Here is a 25317-nt window from a genome sequence, read left to right as displayed (position 1 = left end):
GCAATCTCTCCCATCTGAGTGTCTTAAGACAACCTATTAATTGCCCATGTAACATACAGAAAGTTCATATAAGGAATAAAATGTAAAATTAAGTGTTTACTGTAGCTCTAAATCTGCAGTTCTAACAAAGCTCTACTGACACAGAATTCACTATTAGGGTGACACCAAAATTAGGTATACATTAAGGAATTCTCAGATTAGCAGAATTTACATTTCAAACCCTCTCCTTCCCACAAGTCACAAGTCTGAGAAACAGGATAAAGTTGGAAATAGCAAAGAAAATACAGATCCAAGTTAATTTTCTCTAAATTGTTGATTGTATAAGTTTTAACTTATAAACATATATTGGTTGTGGGAAGTCAAAATGGTAACGTGGTAAAGAGATGCAAAATGAAAAGCATAATGATCTCCCCCTTGAGGACCCAATGTTAACACACAGCCTGGTATGTGCCTTTCAACACCTTTCTCTCATATAAACAGAGATCACAGAGAGGTATTCTGTCTTTTTTAAAAATGAACAAAAACTAAAATGTAATCATATTAAATATATTTAACAATCTGCAACTTTTAAAAATTATTAATAAATCTCTCCCTCCAGGCTGATACATGGATATCTAACATCCTTTTCAATATGTTCAACATCCCATATGTACATACATACGCATAATTTATTCAATAATTCCCTTACTGATAAGCATTCAAATATATTTCCAGGGTTTTTTGCCACTATGTTTCATAGTAATACATAGGCTTATATCTATATATTTATTTACTGGGGGATTTATTTTAACGGTACAGATTCCCAAAAGTGAGATATGTTGGGCCAAAGGGCATGGGCATTTTAAATTTCAATATTGCCCAATTACTATCAATTAGATAATAGAAATTCATGTTACCAGCAGCAGTGCTTAAACACACCTGTTTCCCCACATCCTCACTAGCACTGACTCTACACAATGAGAGAAACATGGACTCTCACGGCTATTATAATTTACATTTCCTAGACCTTTTTATAAAGCTGGCCATCTTTTCCTACGTTTATCAGCCATGTATAGTTTCTCTTCTGCATGATGTCCAATTTTTATTAAGTTGTTCATTTGTTTTTCTTATCATGACACTGTAGCTCTCTACTTAAAAGGGATATAAACCTTTTGTCGTCTATAAATAGTAAATGGTTTTAGAGTCTATTTTCTGATTTTGACTTTGCTGATGGCATGTTTTACCATACCCTTTTTATTTAGAGTATACTATATGTATCTTTTCCTCCTTGCCTTCTGAGTTCCCATCCATGTCCTCCAAATTACATAAATATGCTCCTATATTTTCTTCTATTTTAGTGGAGGTTTAGAAAATATACATTTTTAATCTTTAGAATTTTGCGGGTAAAGAAGGAGATAAGTCAGAGGATCTAATGTCACTTCTTCCAAATGTAGACTCTATTATATTAACACTATTAAGCAAATTGGCCCTTTTCCGATGAATTGAAATTGAAATGCTGCCATTACATTGACTTCCCATGTACTTATGAGGCAAGCAAACAGGTGCTGCCCCTTTCTGCAGACATTCACTGGGCTGACCAGGCTCCCTCCTCCAAAATGATCCTGACTTCTACAGGTAGCAAGCTTTCTCCTGATGATGGTTCTTTTTATGCCACAGAGATGGAGCCTGAACCTGTTCTTTCCCTGGAGATCGTAGAATGCCTAAAGAGATCCTGCAGGTGCCCTAAGTTTGTTCACTTTTCCAGGGAAGCAGTTTGGACAGAGTTGGGATGAAGTTGAGGCCTCCATCTTCCTAAAATTCCCCCAGTAAATAAATAAATTTTTTTTATTGTAGTACGATACACACAACATAAAATGTACATTTTCACCATTTTTAAGTCTACAGATCAGTGGCACTGGTATCTTCTCATTGCTATGCAACCATCACTACCATCCATCTCTATAACTAACTTTTTCATCTACTAAAAAACTCTGCACTGATTAAATAATAATTCCCTATTCCTCCCTCTCCCCAGGGTGAGACCACCATTATACTATCTCTATGAATTTGACTACTCTAGGTACCTCATGTAAGTTGAACCATATAGTATTTTTCCTTTTGTATCAGGCTTGTATCACTTAGCATAACTTCTCTAAGATTTATCCAGGTTGTGGCATGCATCAGAATTTCATTAAGGCCAAATAATACTCTATTGTATGTTCATACAATATATTTTATTTACTCATTTACTTGTCAATGGATCCTTGGACTGTTTCCACCTTTTGGCTCTTGTGAATAATTTTGCTACAAACATTGGTGTGCATGTATCCATTCAAGTCCCTGCTTTCAATTATTTTGGGTATACACCCAGAAGTGGAATTGCTGGATCATATGGTAATTCTATGTTTAATGTTTTGAGAAACTGCCATATTGTTTTCCACATAGGCTGTGTTATTTTACATTCCTACCAGCAACGTTTAAGGGTTCCAATTTCTCCACATTCTCCCCAACACGTTAATTTCTGTTTTATTAATAACAGGCATACTAATGGGTGTGAGGTGCTATCTCACTGTGGTTTGGATTTGCATTTCCCTAATTATCAGTGATTTTGAGCATCTTTTCTTATGTTTTTTGCCGTTTATGTATTTTCTTCTTTGTAGAAATGTCTATTCAAGTCCTTAGCCCATTTTTTAATCAAGTTTTTTTGGTTGTTGTTGAGTTGTAAGAGTTCTTTATTGTATATATTCTAGATATTAATCCCTTATGAGATATATGATTCGGAAATATTTTCTCCCATTCCATGTTGTCTTTTCAATCTGTTGATGAGTCTTTTGATATACAACAGTCATTAACTTTGATAAAGTCTAGTTTATCTATTTTTCTTCTGTTGCCTATACTTTTGGTATCATAATTTAGTAAATAAATTTTAAAACTAAGAATATTTAATTACAATAAAACCTTTTTATTCATATACCTATAAATACATGCCCATTTCATCTATAAAATTCATATATTAACTAATGTTTATAGTATGCAAATTGTAGATAGTGTCCATGTTGTATTGTGTGCTTTCAGATTAATGACCTGGTCTTTAAATGATGATCCAGCACTTGCTAAATGTGCCTGCCTGACAATCCTTATGATCAGAGCTTTAGAGTTCCTTCAATTAACTCTCACAACAGCCCTTTAAGATACAAATCTCCCTCCTCATTTTATACATCAGGAATCTGAAGCACAGACAAGCAAAGTAACTTGTCCAAGGCAACACAACGAACAAATTAGGAAACTGGGACTCAAACCTAGATCTGGTTAGCTCAAAAGTTTATGTTCTTTGCCCAGTAATGCTGTTTCCCCAACTGATAGAAGGGAAATACAACTCTACAGGAGTCTGTGGAGGCTATAACCCTTTAAAAGAGAAGGGAACTAAATTTTTTAAGCTTTATGTGTGCAGTGCCTCATTTTACCTTTTTTAAATTTAAGTGTCTTGCTCCGTTGCCCAAGTTGTCTTGGCTCACTGCAACCTCCACCTCCCGGACTCAAGTGATCCTTCCACCTCAGCCTCTCAAGTAGGTGGAACTACAGGTGTGAGCCACCACACTTGGCTAATTTGTGTGTGTGTGTGTATATATATATGTATATACATATATTATAATGTGTGTGTGTATATATATACACACACACATATGTAGAAACAGGGTTTCACTATGTAGCCCAGGCTCAGCTTCTGTCTTTATTAAGTACATTGAAAAATCATTCTCATTTTTACTCTTGAGCTTAGAGTTACTGATTTTTAAAAATAAGTAAACTTTCCCTTTTATGTAGCAAGATCACAAACATGGCTAACAGTAATACCAGATCAAAGGCTGTACTCCTATGACAAAATTGAATCACAAGGCAGAAATAATTTATAAGGCATCTAAATATGTTTTATGACTCCAGGAAAACTGAGAGAAAGTAGGGCTTGTGGGAGGGGTAGATGGGCTGGGGCTGGTTTAGTACACTTGTGCTAATGGCCAGGCAATTACAGCCTTGTGGTCTGCATCCTCCATGCCCCACCACCCCTAGACACCCCATAAACAAGTGTCTACCACCAAAGGTCCCCATACAGCACTCAACCCTGGCCACCAGGTCTTTCTCTTTCAGGAGTGAGGAGTTCTCAGGTCTCCCCTCTTCTTTGCTTTACACACTGTATTAGTCCATTTTCACATTACTGCTACAAGCAAATACCTGAGACTGGGTAATAAAGAAAACAGGTTTAATTGACTCGCAGTTCTGCATGGCTGGGGGGACCTCAGAAAACTTATAATCATGGTGGAAGGCACCTCTTCACAGGGCGGCAGGACAGAAAATAAGTGTGGGTAGGGGAAATGCCAGACACTTAAAAACCATCAGATCTCATGAGAATTCACTATCATGAGAAACAGCATGGGGGAAACTGTCCCCATGATCCAATTACCTCCACCTGGTCCCGCCCTTGACACGTGGGGGTTATGGGGACTACAATTCAAGATGAGATTTTAGCTGAGGACACAGCCAAACCGTATCACACACAAAGCCTAAATTTATTTTCCCTTACTGATGACGATGTCAGAGGTCCCCATCCTTCAAAATTTCTACCTGCTTTCTCCCTAATACCCCCAAATTTTATTTTAAAAACTTTCAGCTAATTTGAGATTTTTTTTAACCTGAAAATGTTTTCTGCTTGAGTAGAGACCTGAAAAGCATTTTTAGTAAACATAGATGGCTGATGTAAGATTCTTTCCATTTTTGAGGAGGAGACTTGCTACAGAGGAGGACACTGGGCATTGAGCCGGAATCCTCATGTCCCAGTTATTGTGAATGGAAGGAAGGGGCCAAAAGGGAAAAGCTGTGAAGTGGAAAACAAGTTATCTGGATACCATCATAGCCAGAGTCAGCTCTATTTATGTTCATTTGTGGGTGCATTAATAGGAGCTGTACCCAGGGGTTGAAGTTCAAGCTGTGGACTGAAACTTACCCTTGAGCTACATGACCCGTGATGCTAATTCCATCCCACATGACTCTTGAACCTGCTGTAAGGCAGCCAACTGGATTATAAAAACATCTTTATTGTTCAAGGCCTCGTTAATGAGGTTACAATGCTACTCATGGCCTCCTGCAGCCAGTACTGCTCTAGATCAGCGGTTCTCAACCCTGATTAAATATCTGACTCACCCCAATGCTGTCCTCACTCCAGGGAAACTACTACTGTATCTCTGAGGGTTTGGCCCAGGCATAGAGATTTTTAAAAACTCCCCAAGTGATTCGTATGCATAGGTAGTGGCCATCCAAGGATCCGACAGGTAAGAAAGCTAGAAGTTTACATAATACCTGCCACTCCAAATTCTAAAATAAACATCCACTTGGAAGAATGAAGTAAATCATGTAAACATATTATCTGTCTGTGTGTATGCCTGTCTGTCCCTGTCTTTCTTTCTCTCTCTCACACACACACACATATAAAAGTTGAAAGTGGTGAGTTTGTTACTCAGTAGAACTCTTGAAAGTGAGAACTCTTATGCCTTAAAAGGAGTGACGTAGAGAAAACTACCAATATTTTAACAGGTATGACCATTAAAGACAGATTTTATAATACCAAAATTGGAATATTCCTGCTGAAAGGGAACTTAAAGAGTTAATGAGAGGTTTTTCAAACAGGTCCGTGGCCCAGTGCAGGCCCCTGCTAATGTTGTCATTAGGCAAAAACAAAAACAAAAAACCAATGACAGCAGAGTAAGTTGTTCACAAAGCTAAAGATATCCAATGTTTGATGCTAAGTGTTTTTTCTTTTATAAATAATGACAGTAAATAGTAAGGCTTTTCATTTTTTTTAAAAAAAAACACAGGCATATCCCAGAGATATTGGAGGATTGCTTCCAGACCACCGCAATAAAGCAAATAATGCAATAAAAAGAGTCACATAAATTTTTTGGTTTCCCAGTGCATAAAAAAGTTATGTTTGTACTAGATTATAGTCTATTAGGTGTGAAATTGCATTATACCTAAAAAACAAACAAACAAAAAAACAAAGCAATGTACATACCTTAACTAAAAATATTTTATTGCTAAAAAAAATGCTAACGATCATCCAAGCCTTTAACGAGACATATCTTTTCACTGGTGAAGGGTCTTGCCCCGATGCTGATGGCTGCTGACTGATCAGGGTGGTGGTCACTGGAGGCTGGGGTGGCTGTGGCAAATCCTTAAAATAAGACAACAATGGGCCGGGCACAGTGGCTCACACCTGTAATGCCAGCACTTTGTGAGGCCAAGGCGGGTGGATCACCTGAGGTCGGGAGTTTGAGACCAGCCTGACCAACCATGGAGAAACCCCATCTCTACTAAAAATACAAAATTCGCCACAAGTGGTAGCGCATGCCTGTAACCCCAGCTACTTGGGAGGCTGAGGCTGGGAATTGCTTAAACCTGGGAGGTGGAGGTTGTGGTGAGCCGAGTTCACGCCACTGCACTCCAGCCTGGCCAACAAGAGTGAAGCTCTGTCTCAAAAAAATAAAATAAAATAAAATAAAATAAAAAAATAAAACAATTAAGTTTGCTCCATCAATTGACTCTTCCTTTCACAAAAGATTTCTCTGGAGCATGCAATGCTATTTGATAGCATTTTACCCACAGCAGAACTTCAAAATTGGAGTTAATCTTTTCAAACCTTCTCATTGCTTTATCAACTAAGTTTATGAAATATTCTAAATCTTCGTTGTCTTTTGAACAATGTTCCCAGCATCTTCAATAGAAACAATTCCATCTCAAGAAACCACTTTCTTTGTTCATCCATGAGAAGCAACTCCTCACCCATTCAAGTTTGATCATAAGATTGCAGGAATTCCAACACATCTTCAGGCTCCACTTCCAATTCTAGCTTTCTTGCTATTTCCACTACATCTACTGTTATTTCATCCACCTAAGTCTTGAACCCCTCAAAGTCATCCATGAGAGTTGGAATCAACTACTTCCAAACTCCTGTTAATGTTGGTATCTGATCTCCTTCCATGAATCCTGAATGTTTTTAATGGCATCTAGAAAGAGTGAATTCTTTCCAGATGATTTTCAATTTATTTTGCCCAGATCCATCAGAAGAATCACTTATCTGTGGCAGTTATAGCCTTACCAAATGTATTTCTTTAATAATGAGACTTGAAAGTCAAAATTACTACTTGATCCATGGGCTGCGGAATGGATGCTGTGTTAGCAGGCATAAAAACAACATCAATCTCCTTCTACATCTCCATCAGAGGTCTTGAGGGACTAGGTGCATTGTCAATGTGCAGTAATCTTTTGAAAAGAATATTGTTTTCTGAGCAGTAGATCAAAACAGTGGGCTTAAAATATTCAGTAAACAATGTTGTAACAGCTGTGCTGTCACCCAGGCTTTTTTCATTCTAAAGCACAGGCAGAGTAGATTTAGCATAATTTTTAAAAGGGCCCTATGATTTTCAGAATGGTAAATGAGAACTGGCCTCAATTTAGTCACCAGCTGCATCACCCCCTAACAAGAGTCAGCCTGTTCTTTGAAGCCAGGCATTATCTTCTCCTCTCTAGCCAAGAAAGTCCTAGATGGCATCTTCTTCCAATTTAAGACTGTTTTGTCTACACTGAAAAAATCTGTTGTTTAGCACAGCTGCCTCCATAAACTCATCTTAGCTATATCTTCTGGACTTCTGGATAACTTGCTGCAGATTCTACATCATCACTTGCTGTTTCACCTTGCACTTTTATATTATGGAGACAGCTTCTTCCCTTAAACCTCATGAGCTGAACTCTGCTAGCTTTAAACTTTTATTCTGCTGCTTCCTCACCTCTCTCAGCATTCACAGAGTTGAACAGAGGGCCTTGCTCTGTATTAAGCCTGGGCTTAAGGGAGTATTTTGGCTGGCTTGATCTTCTACCTAGAGCAAAGTTTTTTTCCTATCAGCAATAAGGCTTTCTAATCATTTGTGTTCACTGGAGTAACACTTAATTTCAAGAACTTTTCCTTTGCAGTCACAACTTGGCTAAGTGTTTGGTCCAAGAGGCCTACCGTGCAGCCTATCTCAGCTTCTGACACGCCTGCCTTCCTCACTAAGCTTAATCATTTCTAGCTTTTGATTTAAAGTGAGAGACGTCCAAGTGTCACTTGAACATTTAGAAGACATTGTAGGGTTATTAATTGGCCTGATTTCAATATTGTTGTGTCTCAGGGCCTAGGGCAGCCTGAGCAGGCAGAGACGATCAGAGCAGTAATCAGAACATACACAACACATATCAATTAAGTTCACCATCTCACATGGGCACAGTTCATGGCACCCCAAAACTACTACAATAGTAACATCAAAGATTGCTGATCACCGTAATAGATACAATAATTATGATAAAGTTTGAAATATTGCCAAGAACTATCAAAATGTGACTCAAGAGACATGTAGTGAGCACATGCAGTGTGAAAAATGGAACTGGTAGATTTGCTCCACACAGAGTTGCCACAAACTTTCAATTGGGGAGAAAAAAACACGCAGTATCGGCAAAGTACAACAAAGTGAAATGCAAAAAAAACAAGGTATGCCTGTATATGTCTTTACTTGACAAAATAAGCAGTCAGATACTATGTATGGTAACCCCACAGTTTTTAATTGAGCCACGAAATCCCAGGGTCTGGATATCACTGATCTATTTATTCAACTTTTTGTTTTTTTTTTTTTTTTTTAACATAAACTCAGACCCCAAGGTTTCTATAAACTCACACCGAACCAGCTGCGGGGTAGGGATTAGAGAGAGATCTCCAATCTTCCAGGTTCAAGTTCTCCACTTCATTAATAGCATAGCCACCAGCTTTTGCAACGTAAATACTGAACTTTACACCCATCTTGTAAAGTATGAATCGAAGGTAAGTGTATTAAAGGAATTATATGGTAAATTCTTCTGTAATCTAAAAGGGATCTAGTTTTAAATGTTGGATTTTTCTAAAATAGGATTCACCCACACAGTATTTCCTTGGTATTGCTTCACATTTCTGGTGTGAAAGAGTAACGGCTGCTCTTACAACTGTTTGTTTTTGTTTGTTTTGGGACGGAGTCTCACTCTGTCGCCTAAACTGGAGTGCAATGGGGCAATCTCCGCCTCCCCGGTTCAAGCGATTCTCCTGCCTCAGCCTCCCAAGTAGCTGAGACTACAGGCGCCCACCACCACGTCCGGCTAATTTTTGTATTTTTAGTACAGACGGGGTTTCAATAAATTGACCAGGCTGGTCTCGAACTCCTAACATCGTGATCCGCCTGCCTCAGCCTCCCAAAGTGTTGGGATTACAGGCGTGAGCCACTGCGCCCGGCCACAGATGTTTAAGAGAAGAGAGGGGGGCAGTCTGAGTTCTACTTACACACATTTAAAAATCAACACATAATGTGAGCTTTCAAAAACCGACCGGAAGTAGATGGAGGTACAGATGTGAAAGAACTGCCAAGAGTTGGAATAATTGTTAAAGCTGGGAGTACTTGGAGGTTCCGGGATACAGTACTAGTCTCCTTATTCCTACTTGTTTTTTTGGTAAGTCTTTGAAATCTGATGCACTAAAGAGTTTTTTGTTGTTGTTTGCTTAAGTATCCGAGATGAGTGGAATCCAGCCAGAGGCCTTTCTGCAGAAAACCAAGACGAAGAGATGTCAGCGTCTCCGCCCCGACAGAAGCAAGCTCATACCTATGCTTGCCGCGACAACCGCATAGCTCAATGCGACTTCAAGCAATCAGCGGCCAGACCCAGGGAGACCATCCGGCAAATTCCGGGAAGCAAGAAGTCCCATCCCTAGCTAGAGCTACAGCCCAGACGTTCGGTCCGCTAGCTAGGAGGCCTCAAGCTGGACCCCAGGCGGCCCCTGGCTCTCTAGATTACTCACCAGCCTCGCTGTAGGCCAGGCGCAACACCCGGCCCAGCGTGGAGAAGGCGCACCGCGGCTGGCACAGCTCCTGGCCGGCCACCGCGAACGCCTCCACCTTGCAGCCCGCCGCCACGAAAAGCGCGTCACGCCCCCCGCCACAGAACCGGTCCGGCTCCAGCTTGCAGGGCACCACCTGCTGCGACCCGAACGGGTGCAGGTTGTACAGCTGCACCATCCCGACGTCCGGCGGGATGGCACAGCCTGCCCGCCCTGCAGGGCGCCCGGAGACCCCGCGCTGACCGCGAATGTAGGACTACTTCCGCGAGCGAGCCAATGACGCCGGGTCACGTGAACGCCAGCCGGCCCCGCCCGCGGCTCCGCTACTTAAAGAGGCCGCCGCGGGGCGTGGCAGGCGTCGGGAAAGCGGTCACGCCAGCCTGGTCAGCCCGCGCTCTGGCGCTGCAGTGCTTTCGGTCTCTGCGCCTCCCACTCCGCCGCGCGAGCTTGCCACTGCTCTATGCTCAGTGGCCGGTGGGTGCGGGGACCGCTGGGTCCCTGCCTTTCGTCTTTTACTGCTTTGGGCCAGGCGGTATGTTTTGGCTTTTGAGTACGTTCTGACAATTCATCATCTATCTTGTAACATTTTGTACTTACTTTGAGGAGCGTTATTCATGTCTCTTCAGTAGTCCCTGAGCTTCTGGAGGATGGGGTTGCAAAAACTGAAATGGGGTGCAACTCGGGGCTAAACACTCTGAAGAGTTGCTTTAAAATAATGGAAATTCTAGAATAGTTCAGCTGGAAAGAGCAAAGCCTTGAACGTGCTTGGCAAAAAGATATTTGTTGAAAGAAAGAATCCATGGACTTCATCTTGTAGGCATTTGACAAAAGACTAGTTTGAGCCCCAGAGGATAGAAGAACTAGGAGGGAAATCCCCTGGCTTTCAGTCCAGTGCTCCTAAAACTATGCAGTAAATTATCTATTCCTGACATCTCAACGTGGAGTTCACGATCGCAACACTTTCCCTTTTCTAAAAAAATCAGATTTAGATAAAACAAGTAGTATAACTTTGTCCAGTTCACCTAGAAAATATATGTGTTAGCATGGATTGAGGGATGCTGTTTTATTTAGGCACACAGGGACATAAATGAAAGTGCAACATTTTCTTCAGTCAGTTTCCAGTTCAGAATTTGTAAATTAGATGCAATTGGATTGAAGTTAAACTTGCCTCCCTTTCCTAGGCCCTTCAGATGAATAAAGTACCTCTAAGTAATGGGAAACAACAGGTTCGTCAAACTCAGTGAGTTAGAGAAGTAAACATGGAGGTAGCTCAGGTCAGGAACTAGGGCTGCAAAAAATCACAGAAGGCTCCTATGGAAAACAACCAGACTAATAGTCCACAAGTTATTTGTTCTAGATACAAAACTTAAGAGCAAATATCAAAATCAATAGTAAAAAAGATTCCTTTCCACAAGTATCTGCCATATTATTCTTTTTGGCTTAATTTTCTTCTTCAAGACTTAATTATCCTAATTCAATTTTCTCCTAATGAAGACTGATATTAACTTTAGTGTAATTTCACCTGCATAAAAAGAATGTCTGTTTTGGAGAAAGAAGTGAGATTTGCTCAAAACCTGGAACCCCATTCCTTCCTAGAGATAGTGTCTTCTTCCTTGCTGTAGTCACTGCACCTGACTCATCTAAGATTCTTTGGGAAGAGACATGCTACCCAAGGGAAGGTGGGGCATGTGTCTGGTTTCCACGTTTGTCAGGAGCTGTGAGCAGGAGCTGCCCACTTGTATTCCTGTTACGAATGCAGGGGCAGCAATGGCACACCATCAATTCCTTGCGGGAGGTTGCATTTGTTTGCAAGGGCTGCCATAACAAAACACCACAGACTGGGTGGCTTACACAATAGATATTTCATTTTCACAGGTCTGGAGGCTAGAAGTCCAAGATAAGATGTCAGCAGGTATGGTTTCTCCTGAAGCCCCTTCTCCTTGGCTTGAAGATGACTACCTTTTTATTATGTGTTCCTATGGTCTTTCCTCTGTGTGCCTGCATCCCTGGTGTCCTTCCCTTGTCTTATAAAGATACCAGCCATATTAGATTAGGACCCACCCTTATGATCTTATTTAACCTTAATTATTTCTTAAAGGCCCTATCTCTATATACAGTCACATTCTGAGGTATTGGAGGTTACAGATTCAACATATGAATTTGGGGGGAAGACACAATTTAGCCCATAGCACATGCACTTAGGGTAGCACTCTGTTGAAAAGGGTTGTCTTGAGAACTTTCTTCCTTCCTTCCCTCCTTTCTCTCTCTTTCTTTCTTTTCTTTCTTATTTAAAGAGATGGGGTTTCGCTCTGTCACCCAGGCTGGAGTGCAGCAGTGTGATCATGGCTCACTGTACCCTTGACCACCTGAGCTCGAGCAATCCTCCCATCCCAGCCTCCAGATTAGCAGGAACTATAGGCACATACCACCATGCCTGGCTAATTTTTAAAATTTTTGTAGAGATAGGGTCTCACTATATTGCCCAGGCTGATCTTGAACTCCTGGACTCAAGCGATACTCTCACCTCAGCCTCCCAAAGTGCTAGGATTACAGGCATGAGTCACTGCACCTGGCCCTAGAACTTCTTTAAGCTGTATTTGCTGGGGAGATTGAGGGTGCTATGTGGGTAAAAAGCTCCCCCAAGTTTCTTCTAGGTGACAACACCACTGGGGATGGCTACAAAAATGGTTCTGCAACAACATGGACAAAGAGCTCTACTCAACCAGCCTAGAAAAGAAGGATTCTGGATCTCTGGAGCACTGATTTCCTATCCCATCTGTGAGGTACCTCGGGATATCTGCATTGGTCTTAGAGAATGTGTTGAGAAAGTCACTCACAAAATACCATTTACTTCTCATTTTTTATTTCTTTATTTCCTCAAAGTTCTTTCTGGAAAAGTCACAAAAAACAAACAAGGAAAGTGTATAGGAATTCCCAAAAGGTAGCTGACCACTATTTGCATAGGTGGCTCCATTATTTTTGCATCTTTTTTTTTTTTTTTTTTTTTTTTTTTTTTTTTTTGAGACGGAGTCTCGCTCTGTCGCCCAGGCTGGAGTGCAGTGGCGCAATCTCGGCTCACTGCAAGCTCCGCCTCCCGGGTTCACGCCATTCTCCTGCCTCAGCCTCCCAAGTAGCTGGGACTACAGGCGCCCGCCACTACGCCCGGCTAATTTTTTGTATTTTTAGTAGAGACGGGGTTTCACCGTTTTAGCCGGGATGGTCTCGATCTCCTGACCTCGTGATCCGCCCGCCTCGGCCTCCCAAAGTGCTGGGATTACAGGCGTGAGCCACCGCGCCCGGCCTATTTTTGCATCTTAAAAAAGGGGCCTCTGAAAGATTTTTTAAAAATTAGGTTGGTGTTGTAAGCATGCTTCCTGAAGAATAGAACGTGACTCTCTCAGAGCAATGGATGAAGTGGTTTCTGCATCTCTAAACAACACCATCACTACTGTCAGAGAAGCCCAAGGCACTTGGGGAAATCAGGTGCCAGCATTGAGGTGTCCAGCCCTCAGCCTTCAGATAGAGCAGTTGGTGGGGTGTAAGGAGGTGGAAACGACAGCTCCAAATGGCCCTCCTTCTCTCTTCCCTAGCCTCCTCTTCTCTCCCCTCTCTTCCCTAGTTTTCTTTGCCAAAGTGGCACAGGCAGGCCACTTCTGTAGTTTTCCTGGCTTGCTGCATTTAGAGGGTATCCTTGCCTTTAAGATCTCCCACATTGCCAAAACTAATGCTCTCATCTTGACCCGTCAGCAGCATTGTATCACTCTCTCTTCTTAAGTCATTCTCTTCACTGGGCTTCTGACAGTCCACTTCTGATTTTCCTCCTCTGTCTCCTTTACTGGATCCTATCCCTCCTTTCTCTGAACTCTAAAATTAGATGAATATGTTCTCTCCATCTATACTCACTCTTTCAGTGAAATCAACCAATCCCATCACTTTAAAAATTATCTAAATACTAAGAACCCCTGAATTTATATCTCTAGCTCTCAGCTTCCTTGAGCTCTGACCTGGAATATCCAATTGTGTTAGGCTGTTCTCACATTGCTATAAAGAAACACCCGAGACTGGGTAATTTATAAAGAAAATAAGTTTAATTGGCTCACGGTTTTGCAGGCTGCATAGGAAGCATGATGCTGGCATCTGCTCAGCTTCTGGGGAAGTCTCAAGAAACTTACAATCATTATAGAAGGTGAAGGGGGAGCAGGCATATCACATGGCCCAAGCAGAAAAAAAGAGAGAGAGGAGAGAGGTGCCACACACTTTTAAACAGCCAGATCTCTCAAGAAGTCACTCCCTGTCACGAGGACAGTACCAAGGGGAGGGTACTAAACCATGCATGAGAAATCCATCCCCGTGGTCCAATCATCTCCTACCAGACTCCACCTCTAACATTGAAGATTGCAATTCAAGATGAGATTTAGGTGGGGGCACACATCCATACTATGTCACCAATTTAACATCTCTATTCTCTGTCATTTTCAGACTTAAGATGTCCAAAACTAAACTTCTGATTCCTTCATGCCCTGCATCCACCTCTTATCTTCCCTAACTAGGTAACTAGCACCAGTCACTTAGGCCAAAGGCCAAAAGCCCAGGAATATCATTGGCCCACCTTTTCCTGTTTCTTTGCTTTTTTTTTTTTTTTTGAGACAGTCTTACTCTTGTCCCCCAGGCTGGAGTGCAATGGGGCGATCTTGGTTCACTGCAACCTCTGCCTCCTGGGTTCAAGCGATTCTCCTGCCTCAGCCTCTCGAGTAGCTGAGATTACAGGCACCTGCCATCATGCCCAGCTAATTTTTGTATTTTTAGTAGAGACGGGGTTTCACCATGTTGGCCAGGCTAGTCTCAAACTCCTGACCTCAGGTGATCTGCCCACCTCAGCCTCCCAAGGTGCGGGGATTACAGGCGTGAGCCACCGTGCCTGGCTGACCCATGTTTTTCTCTCACACCCTACATCCAATCCATCAGCAAGTCCTGTCTGTTCTGCCTTTAGAATCTGACCACTTTTCACCTTATCACCACTACCATCCCAGTCCCTGTCACCATTGTTTCTTACCTAAGCAAATGCCTTCTAACTGGTTTCTCTGCTGTACTCTTTGCCCCGCTCTAGTCTATTCTCCATAGAATAGCCAGAGACTTTTTTAAAAAGTACTGCACCTTCTCTTCCCTCTCCTTTTCTCTATCACCCAAAAAATTCATCTTTAAACTATTAGGTGGAGTAAAGTAAGATCACCATAGTTGGGGGAAGAGGAAGCCATGCAAGTGAAGAGGCAGAGCCAAATGTAATGAAAAGGGCATCCATGATGGGGTGGTATGGCCTAGTGTGGGGAGTCAGAGGCCACAGTGGGTGAAGAGGGCATTGCTATGGTGTGTCAGAGCCTGATTAGTGAGGAGAGCACTCATGCAGGACGAGGAGGGCATCCATACGTGGGGTGGGCTTGTTTGAGGTGTTAGAGCCTGAGCAGGGTGCAGAGAGTGTCCCTGCAGGGGGAAGGAGTGGCCCAGGATGGAATGTCAGAGCCAGCGCAGGGTGAGGAGGGTGTTCATGTGAGAGGGGCAGCCTGGCATGGAGGGTTGATCTGTTCAGTAAATACAGTATATTAAGAAGAGTGGAAGGCAAGTTTCTCACTGCCGGCAGAGGAAAGGACAGTATAATTACCAAAAGGAGAAAATCAGAATTAGTCAATAGGAAAAAGTGAAATTGTGTATCATGTGATGGGAAGGAATAAGAATACAGCATCATTTCTGAGATACTTTTATTAAAATTGCATAAACTGAATTTAATAATGAGGAAAACATCAGACCAATGCAATTTTTTTTTTTTGTTTGAGACAGAGTTTCGATCTTGTTGTCCAGGATGGAGTGCAATGGCACAATCTCAGCTCACCGCAATCTCCATCTCCTGGGTTCAAGCAATTCTCCTGCCTCAGGCTCCTGAGTAGCTGGGATTACAGGCATGTGCCACCACACCCTGTTTTGTATTTTTAGTAGAGATGGGGTTTCTCCATGTTGGTCAGGCTGGTCTTGAACTCCTGACCTCAGGTGATCCGCCCGCCTCGGCCTCCCAAAGTGCTGGGATTACAGGCATGAGCCACCGCACCTGGCCAGACCAATGCAATTTGAGGAAGATGCTATGATGAATGAAATTACAAATTAATGACAGAAAGATGTCTGGAAAATCTCCAAATATGTAAGAACTAAATAGCATACTTCTAAAGAAGCCATAGGTCAAAGAATTAACCAAATGGAAAATTAGAAAATATTTTGAACTGAATGAAAATGAAAACAAAAAAACATAACACCTACATTAGAAAAGATGAATGACTTCAAATTAATTACCTCAGCTTCTACCTTAAGAAAGTGATCTCAGAATGGGGGAAGATGATTTTTAAAAAGAAAAAATTTAAAAAACAGAAACTAGAGTAAAGAAGACTAAATTAAACCCAATGTAATCAAAAGAAAGGAAATAAAGTTCAGAGCAGAGTTCAGCGAAACCAAATACAGAAAAACACTGGAGAAAATCAATAAAACCAAAAGCTGTTTCTTTGAAAAGATCAATAAAATTGGTACAACTCTAGCCAGACTTATCGGGAAAAAAAAGAGAGAATAAAAATACATATTACAAGTATCAGGAATGAGAAGGGTGACGTCATTAAAGATTCTTCAGATATTAAAACAATAATAAGGGAATATTATAAATAATTTTATGCTAATATAGTGAACAAAGTAGATGAAATGGACAAAAACTCTTGAAAGCACAAGCTACCAAAGCTCACTCAAAAAGAAATAATCTGAATAGCTGTATCTATTTAAGAAATTGTATTTGTAGCTAAGAACCTTCTCAAAAAGAAAACTAATACCTACAGACGATTTCATGTATCCATTTACCAAATATTTAAGGAAGAAAAAAAATACCAAGTCTACAGAATCTTTCAGGAAATGTTAAAAAAGAAAATACTTCCCAACTTACTCTGTGAGGCCAGCATTACTCTGATGACTAAGCCAAACAAAGTCATCACAAGAAAAGAGAACTATAAACCAATGTACCTCAACAGATGCAAAAATTCTAAATAAATGTTATCAAATTAAATCTAACAATATATAGGAAGAATAATATATTAACAAAGAAGAGTTTACCCCAGAAATGCAAGGTTAGCTTAACATCTGGAAAAAATCAATCAATATAATTCACTATATTTAATAAAAAATATATTGACATTATTTTTGACAAAGGTACAAAGGCAATTCAGTGTAATAAGGATAGTCTTTTCAAGTAATTCATGAAAACAATTAAAAATCAATATGCAAAAAGTAAACTTTGAAACTTTGCACCATATAAAGATTAACTCAAAATAGGTAGTAGACAATGTAAAACCTAAAACTTCTTAGAAGAAAACATAAAAGAAAATCTTTGTGACTTTGAGTAAGACAAAAATTTCTTAGATACAACACCAAAAATACAATGCAGAGAAGAAAAAAATTGATATATATTATAGGCCAGGCGCGGTGGCTCATGCCTGTAATCCTAGCATTTTGGGAGGCCGAGGCAGGGGGATTGCCTGAGCTCAGAAGTTCCAAGACCAGTATGGGCAACACGGTGAAACCTTGTCTCTACTAAAATACAAAAAATCACCCAGGCGTGGCGGTGTGCGCCTGTAATGCCAGCTACTCGGGAGGCTGAGGCAGGAGAATTGCCTGAACCTGGGAGGTGAAGGTTGCAGTGAGCCGAGATCATGCCACTGCACTCCAAGCTGGGTGACAGAGCGAGACTCCGTCTCCAAAAAAAAAAAAAAAAAAAAAAAAAAAAAAAAAAAAAAAAATATATATATATATATATATATATATATATAGGATAATATGTATTGGATTTCATTAAAATTGAACATTTCTGTTTCTTGAAAGACACTGCTAAGGGAATGAAAAGACAAGACCAGAAGAAAATATTTGCTTGTTTCCAGAAATACATAGAACTGTCTTTAAACACTACAATGGAAAAAAAATTTTAAATGGGCAAAGGATTTAAACATATTTCACTAAAGAAGATACATAGTGGCAAATCAGTACACGAAAGGATGGATGCTCAGCATCATTAATTATTTAAGAAATGCAAGTCAACAACACCATTAGAAACCACTACAAACTTATAATGACTAAAATGAAAAGGACTAACTATCTTAAGTGTAGATGAGTATGGGGAGCAACTGGAGCTCTCATACACTACTGGTAGGTATCCAAAAGGTACAACAACTTGTAAAAACTATTTGGTAGTTTATTACAACATTAAACATATACCATACACCTACCACATGATCCAACCATTCCATCTCCTAGGTATTTACCCAAGAGAAGTAAAAACATTTGTCTTTAAGAAGACTTGTGAACACATATTCATAGGAGCTTTATGTGTAATAGTCAAAAACCAGAAACAACCCAAATGTTCATCAACAGATGAATGGATAAACAAATTGTGTTTTATCCCTACGATGAAATACTACTCAGCAATAAAAAGGAATGAACTATTGATATACACAACAACATAAATGGATCCCAAAATAATTATGCTGAGTGAAAGAAGCCAGACAAAAAAATAGTTCATCCCATATAATTCCATTTATATGAAATTCTAGAAAATATAAACTAATCTATAGTAACAGAAAGCAGTAGTCTGCCTGGGTCCGAATGGGGGACAGAGGTGTGAGAGAGGGGGAGAGATTACAAAAGAGCACAAATAAACTTTTGGGAGTGATGGATATGTTCAGTATCTTGATTTTGGTGATGGGTTTATAGGTATATGCATATGTTGAACATTACATGCATATACCTATAAGGATAAATTTATATACTTAAAATATGTAGAATTTTTTTAAAAGACCACAAGACACATGACTAAGAAAATTATTCCAAATTATACTGCTACTTAAAGGTAAAGCTCACTATATGTACCTAACTACATAGTAGATACTTAATAAATATTTGTTCAAGAATTTAAAATATGAGAGAGCGGGAGAAAGAGATAGTGCCACTTGCCTACTCAGAACATCCCAGTGGCTTCCCATGATACTGAGATTAAAGGTAAAATTTCTTAGGTTGACCTGTGAGGCCCTGTGTTATCTGGCCTGTGTCTCTCTCCAACCTCCAACCAAGCTTTCCTACCACTATCTTTCATTGCATCCTTGACACAGAACCCCTCTTAGAATTTCTAGACACAGAAGTCAGTATTTTTTAAAGATTCCAATTTGCAACAAAGTTTAGGAACCGCTGAGTTTATAGACCCCTTTTTTCTGTGCTTAGAGCACTGACTATATCGAAGCCCTTACTCTAAGGTGCTGTTTCACTTTTCTAACTAATGTGTATAAAAATATGTAAGTATGTCCTCAAGTTCTAAACAGACTAAATAGCTCTTCAGACGAATACTGTTAGTCAATAGCGACATCTGGAGGTCTGATGAGAACCTAAACAAATAATCTAATTTTCTTGGTGTAGGACCACTCTTAACACAGGAAAAAGGTGCCAATGACCACTCCCCTCCCCAAAACACCCCTCCCCTACATACACATATCATACAGAAGGCGAAACGGAGACCCAGAGAGTAATTGATAGCTGTGGAACTGGAACCTGACTGGTCCACCTACCTCCACTTCCTCTCAAGGGCATCCTCCCCCAGAGTGGCCTCATCTTCACATCTTCCCATTATAAGGAACACCACCATTCACTAATAGCTTCCAGGGGTTTTTTTCTAGCTCCCAAGCATGACCCTGGTTGATGCCTGCAACTGCCAAACACAGCTGCATGACTAACCTTAGCCAGAGTATCTGGATAGTAATGGTGGTTCCTCTCCTATATACCCTAGGATTTTGATTTCCCCCCTGGTAGAAGGAAAAAGTTGCACTGTTGGGTAGGAAAATCTGATGGATGGGGACAAAATATAGGCTGATTTTTCTGGTTAAGGATAATGGTTCCCATTTAACAAATTAGAGGACTAAGGCCCAATGAAGGTAATTGCCAAGACCACTTATCTCCACACGTTCTTTCTCTCTGTCCTGAATCCAAGGGCCTTCATACCAAGTGGGGAAACTGAGACCCAAGTACAGAACTATGCTTTCCAGGTAGGCTTCTGAAAGCCCCTGGCTGACTTGTAGCACTAACACTAATGGGACACCAGAGGTGTGACATTCTCTATATGAAGTAACAACGGATGATGCCAGAGTCCAAAGGAAAAGTAGTCTGAAAGAAGCTAGGATATCAGAGTTGGAGGGCAGAGGCTGAAGATTCAGGCTGGTGGGAAGGGATCTTTGAACCTAGACTGGGAGAAATAGTTCCTGAAGCAGGAACTGAGTGGAATTTGAGGACTGAAGATCCAGGAGCAAGAGAAAAGGGAAGGCTGGGGCCCTATATAGGTGTCCTCCCTAGAGACAGAGAACAGCCAGTGGCTGCACTGCTCCTACCTTATTTTGTGTAGCAGGTGCCTAAGGTGTGGCTCCCAGGGCACTGGGACCCCTAAAGAACAAGAAACGTTTCAAGCCAGTGTGAGCAGGCAAAGACTTGGGGGATAGATAGGGTCTCCTATCCCTTTCTATTCACCTGCCTCTGCTTGACACAGGAGAATCCAGCAGCTGCAGTGGAGAGTCCTACCTTTTCCACTCCATCCAAAGTCTCAATTTTTGGAACTTTATTGACACCATGAGGTGCCAAACTGTCAAGTCTAAGAGAGGCTTCGCAGACACCTTCGCCAGGAGAAAGCCGGCGGGGGCTGCCTTGGTTCCCTCGGCAAAGGGAAAGATATGGATTAATTCTGGCCTCTGTAGTCTGGATGAAAGAAAAGCTTTGAAACCCAGAGCAAAGCCCTGTGGAGCTTTCAGGGAAGTGTAGTCCCGAATGAAGAGGGTGCATTTTGGAAGCTCCCTGGAAATAGTAGTGTTTGTGCTCCGGATGCGCATGACCTGCTCGGCATCTGCACTGTGCTCAAGGCTGGGGCCTGATCTTGTGCCACGTGGGCACATGTGGCCATCCCCCAAGGCTGGCCTGGTGCCACCAGGGGTGGGGTGGGTGCGACTGTTACCCTTCCGTTTGCCTCTCTGTCGGGAGTCGTTAAGGCTTTACTGTGGCATGGGACTTAGTATATCCAGAGCTCACAATCTGGAAAGGGCTAACAAGCAAACCAACAACACATCATGTTACAATTGCTGCCTTGGGCAGAAGCACATGGGTGGGAAAGTTATCCAGAGGCACTGAAGTTCGAGCAGAAATCTGGGGCACCTGTAAGGTGGAAGCTGGCAAGGCGTACAAGCAGGCCCAAGGCCTCTGGGAGAGGTATCACAGGCCGAGGGACCAGAGAGGAGTTAACAGAACAAACCTTTGCCGGGGAGAGTAAAGGGATAACAGGGAGAGAGGTGGAAGTAGGGAGAAGGGCCACCCAAAGCCAGACTGAGCAACTTGGACTGTGTGCCTAGGACAGTATGGAGACATTAGAACTCTAGGCAGAGGTCTTACCTGCTCAAAATTGGATTTTAAAACAATCCATTTCCATTGTGGAGGGTAGATTGGAATGACTGACATTGGGGTCAGGAATTCTTGGAAGAAATGATAGTGATCTTGGCTAGAGTGGAACCAGTGGAGATGGAGAGGAGACGATATTATGGCAACGACATGTATTTAGGAGATAGGCCGGGGAAAAAAATGGTCATCGATTGGGTGGGGGATGGTAGATTACTTTGGGCCTCCCTGGGGGTAGGGTGGGTGCCACTCATTGGATAGAGAAATTCACACACGTGTTGCCCATTTTTCTTACACAGAATGCCCTTATTTATAAACTATCTCATTTGAATAAATAAATTGAAGGAGATTTCCAGCCATTTGCACAACATATGCATGTGAACACACATAATATGCAATGCACTGATAGACATAAATGCAGAGGTTGTGTTAGACTTGGAATGACAGACTAGGTCCTTGCCCCCTCACTCCTCCCTTTATACACCTCAGGGTCCGTTCCTCTTCATGGTGAGCTCTTGTGCAAGCTGCTTAGCCTCTTTTGGCTTAATTTCTAAAAGACAACTCCTTACAAATGGACCACTCAATTGTTATGAGCATGTGGAATTTAAGAATGAGCCTTAAGTACTAAAGGAATCCTACTGTGTTTATTGATAATGGCATCTGTAGAAGAGATGCCCACTTACAAAAGAGGAACCCAGGATGACTGTACAAAGGCAAGCAAAAAGAAGGGTTGAAATAAATATATCTTCCAGGCTTTAAAAATGCAAACATGGAACTTCGGGAACATCTGTCGAAATGGAGATTATGGTGTAAAAATTAACAAGCATTCACAGCCTCCTTCTGACCATAGAACTGTCAACATACATACTCATGTTGTTGAAGGGTGGACTGGGAAATGGCAGAGAAACCAAAAACCTATTTTCTTCTGGGGCTGACCCAGAGGCAGAAGTAGGCCATAACCAATGCCAGGCTGAGCAAAGGAAGGTAGGTTTCTTCCCCAGTAAATGCCAGATTCTCGTTGGCCAAGCTGATGAGAGACTCCACGGGGTCTGTAGCACACGTCCTTGATAGAAGGTTAGATGTCCTGGATCTCCCTGGGATCCCCACAGGGAGAGAGAAGTAAAAATCAGGCTCTCTCCTTTCTGGGTGATGGGGAAGTACCTCCAGGAAAAAACTAATAATTGGCACAACTGTACTAATGGTTTTATTACAATCAAAAGTGGAGAAGAGTATAGAGGAGACCCCAGATGGAGCAGAGAAGAGGTGACCTTCCTTTTAGAAGCAACTTAAGTCTTCAGTAACACAACTCCTTCTGGGCCAGCTCCTACGTATGTGGTAATTCTAGGGGGACCTATAGCACAATAAATCTCAGGAATGGTTTTCTCTGGGGATTGTATGAGGCTTTGGGTCCCTGAGGAATATCCACACATGGAGGAAACCTTTCTAAATAGAAAAGGTCTCTGTTACTGCAGTACGTTCCCAGAGATATCTTGGAGGTCCAAGCTGTTTCCTTACAAGTATCAGGGGTGTCAGGGGGAAAGACAGATAGACGTGCATTGGGCAGTGGAGGAAAGGAGGCTACCACTCAGCAGAACTCTCCTATGCAACTAACCCTTGAGAGAACCTTATAGCTCCAGAACATTTATTCTTCTGAAGTATTCTTCCAGGTGACTCTCAATGGGGTAGTCCAATCTATTTTCCAATGACAGCCTGGAACTGAATCAGTCTGTACTAAGACCTACCCAAATAAGCTAGATTGTCAGCTACTTGTCACCTCTGTAACTCCAGTGTTTAGTAGAAAAGGCTGTGTCACATAGGAGCTGACCAATAAATACTTTTCAAATAACTAAATGAAAAATTGAATACAAAATATTCAGTACTATCTTAGATATTGCAATAAAATAGTCTTGGTGGAAAAAAATGTAAGGGTGGTCTACCCTGGAGAGAAAAGAACTCCCTAATTTTGCTAAGTCCTAGAGGGTCTTACTTTAACCATTTATCATGCCTCTGGCTTAATCTTTTTTAGATAGGCCAAGTATAGGCCTCATTTTTTATTAGTTCGTCCTTTAGCTGGTATTCTTGGGTTTTCCCACCTCCAGCTTCAGAGAATACATTACAGTATTATTTAGGGTTCATTTTAAGAGATGAGTAAATTTTGAATTGGAAGGCAAGTAGAAAGAATTTTAGATTTAAATTCCAAAAAACACCTCACAACTTCCTTTAGCCAAAAGATATGAAAACTTATTACAGTGAAATACTAATTACAGTGATCTTCTATTCAAAATATTTGTTATCTAAATAACAAATATTTTTAGCCAGGCACGGTGGATCACGCCTGTAATCCCAGCACTTTGGGAGGCCAAGGCAGGTGGATCACTTGAAGTCAGGAGTTCGAGACAAGCCTGGCCAACATAGTGAAACCCCGTCTCTTTTAAAAATACAAAAAATTAGCCAGGTGTGGTGGTACGTACCAGCAGTGCCAGCTACTCGGGAGGCTGAGGTGGGAGGATCACTTGAGCCCAGGAGGTGGTGGAGGTTGCAGTGAGCCAAGATCATGCCACTGCACTCCAGCCTGGGCAACAGAGTGAGACTCTGTTTAAAAAAAAAAAAAAAGTTATTTAAGTGGTTTAATTCCAGAAATATTTTAAGGAGGTCTAAAAATACCCACAATGGGTGCTAATGATATTTTTATGTTTCTTGTAAAAGCACAAATTCTAAGTGGAAAAGCCTAAGGAATGGCACAAAGAAGGTAAGAAAAGAAGGGACACAAATTGGGAGAGCAAATGGAGGTGGGATGAGAGGGGGATATTGAAACTGATCCAGTAGTCCCATAGACCAGCGGTCTCCAACCTTTTTGGCACCAGGGACCAGTTTCGTAGAAGACAGTTTTTCCACAGACTAGGGCAGGAGGCTGGGGAGGGGCATGGTTTTGGGATGAAACTGTTCCACCTCAGATCATCAGGCATTAGTTACATTCTCATAAGGAGCACGCAACCTAGATCCCTCACATGCACAGTTCACAATAGGGATCGGGCTCCTGTGAGAATCCAGTGCTGCCACAGATCTGACAGGAGGCGGAGCTCAGGTGGTAATAATGCTCACTTGCCTGCAGCTCACCTCCTGCTGTGCACAGGCCCAATTCCTAAGAGGCCATGGACCAGTACCAGCCTGCCACTCCAGGGCTGGGGACTTCTGCCATAAATAGTTCTTTTGGATAAACATAGAAACTGACCCTCTGGTCTTAAAACTTGAAAGTTATATTTCGTTTGTCTGAGTTCCTTCCTCCCGAGAAGATCTCCAGGCCACTTAAAAAGTATCAAAGAACTGAAACTCACCAGATCACCACATGCAGGCAATTAGAATCCAGACCCCTCATTTTGTTTCATTACCCCTCCCTAGTTTCTGTTTTCCAACACATTGTTACATTTCTTCCCTGCTACATAAAGCCCTAATTTTAGTGGGTCAGGAATATAGATTTGAGACTGATCTCCCATCTCCCTGGACAGTGACTGCTGAAAGCTTTCTTCCTTGGGAAAGCCTTCTTGAACCTTGGCAATAATCATCTCAGTGACTGGCTTTCTGTGAGGTGAGCATCAGGACCTAGATTGAACCCCTGTTCAATAACAGATTTCATTCCCTGACCTGGAATGCATTGCTCAGCTGCTATGGGGCCAGGAAGTCTTGGAAAACCTCCTAATCAGCTGACCGCCCAATTTTGGCTGGAGGTTAAGTTCTGGTCTGTCTATGGCCTTGTGGCTGCCAGCCCCAAGTATGTGCCTGATTGCCTACAAAGAACAGTCTTTGAAATCTGACATATGCATATGAATAGGTGAGTGTCCTTTGTGGGCCCAGACAGCAGGATCTGCTCCTCTCAATTTGGGAAATTTTTAAAGGAATTTCCATCTGCAGGA

At 41.6% G+C, this 25317-nt stretch overlaps 1 protein-coding gene across 5 annotated transcripts in view, besides 3 other annotated features; it reads right to left on the bottom strand.

Annotated features, from left to right (window-relative positions):
- The window catches only part of HPS3 (HPS3 biogenesis of lysosomal organelles complex 2 subunit 1), a 44095-nt gene extending 33915 nt beyond the window's left edge, over positions 1-10180 (bottom strand). For all 5 annotated transcript variants that reach the window (XR_001740328.3, NM_032383.5, NM_001308258.2 and 2 more), the window contains exon 1: positions 9878-10180. Coding sequence is in view for 4 of the 5 variants with exons in the window: in NM_032383.5 (NP_115759.2) it covers positions 9878-10094 (217 nt within the window). In the remaining variant the exon portion in view is untranslated. The remainder of the gene's footprint in view (positions 1-9877) is intronic.
- Positions 9639-10138: an enhancer, noted in NCBI's record as "H3K27ac hESC enhancer chr3:148847467-148847966 (GRCh37/hg19 assembly coordinates)". NCBI's record gives its function as "activates a minimal SCP1, AML or CMV promoter by ChIP-STARR-seq in primed H9 embryonic stem cells {active_cell/tissue: H9 hESC(primed)}" and the evidence as "EXISTENCE:reporter gene assay evidence [ECO:0000049][PMID:30033119]".
- Positions 9639-10179: a biological region, named in NCBI's record as "H3K27ac hESC enhancer GRCh37_chr3:148847467-148847966".
- Positions 9920-10179: an enhancer, noted in NCBI's record as "active region_20679". NCBI's record gives its function as "activates an Ori minimal core promoter by ATAC-STARR-seq in GM12878 lymphoblastoid cells {active_cell/tissue: GM12878}" and the evidence as "EXISTENCE:reporter gene assay evidence [ECO:0000049][PMID:35858748]".

This window comes from Homo sapiens, chromosome 3 (genome assembly GCF_000001405.40).
Source record: "Homo sapiens chromosome 3, GRCh38.p14 Primary Assembly".
NCBI classification, from domain to species: Eukaryota; Metazoa; Chordata; class Mammalia; order Primates; family Hominidae; genus Homo; species Homo sapiens.
The sequence above is the reverse complement of the archived record's forward strand: the minus strand, read 5'-3'. Positions and strand labels throughout refer to the sequence as shown.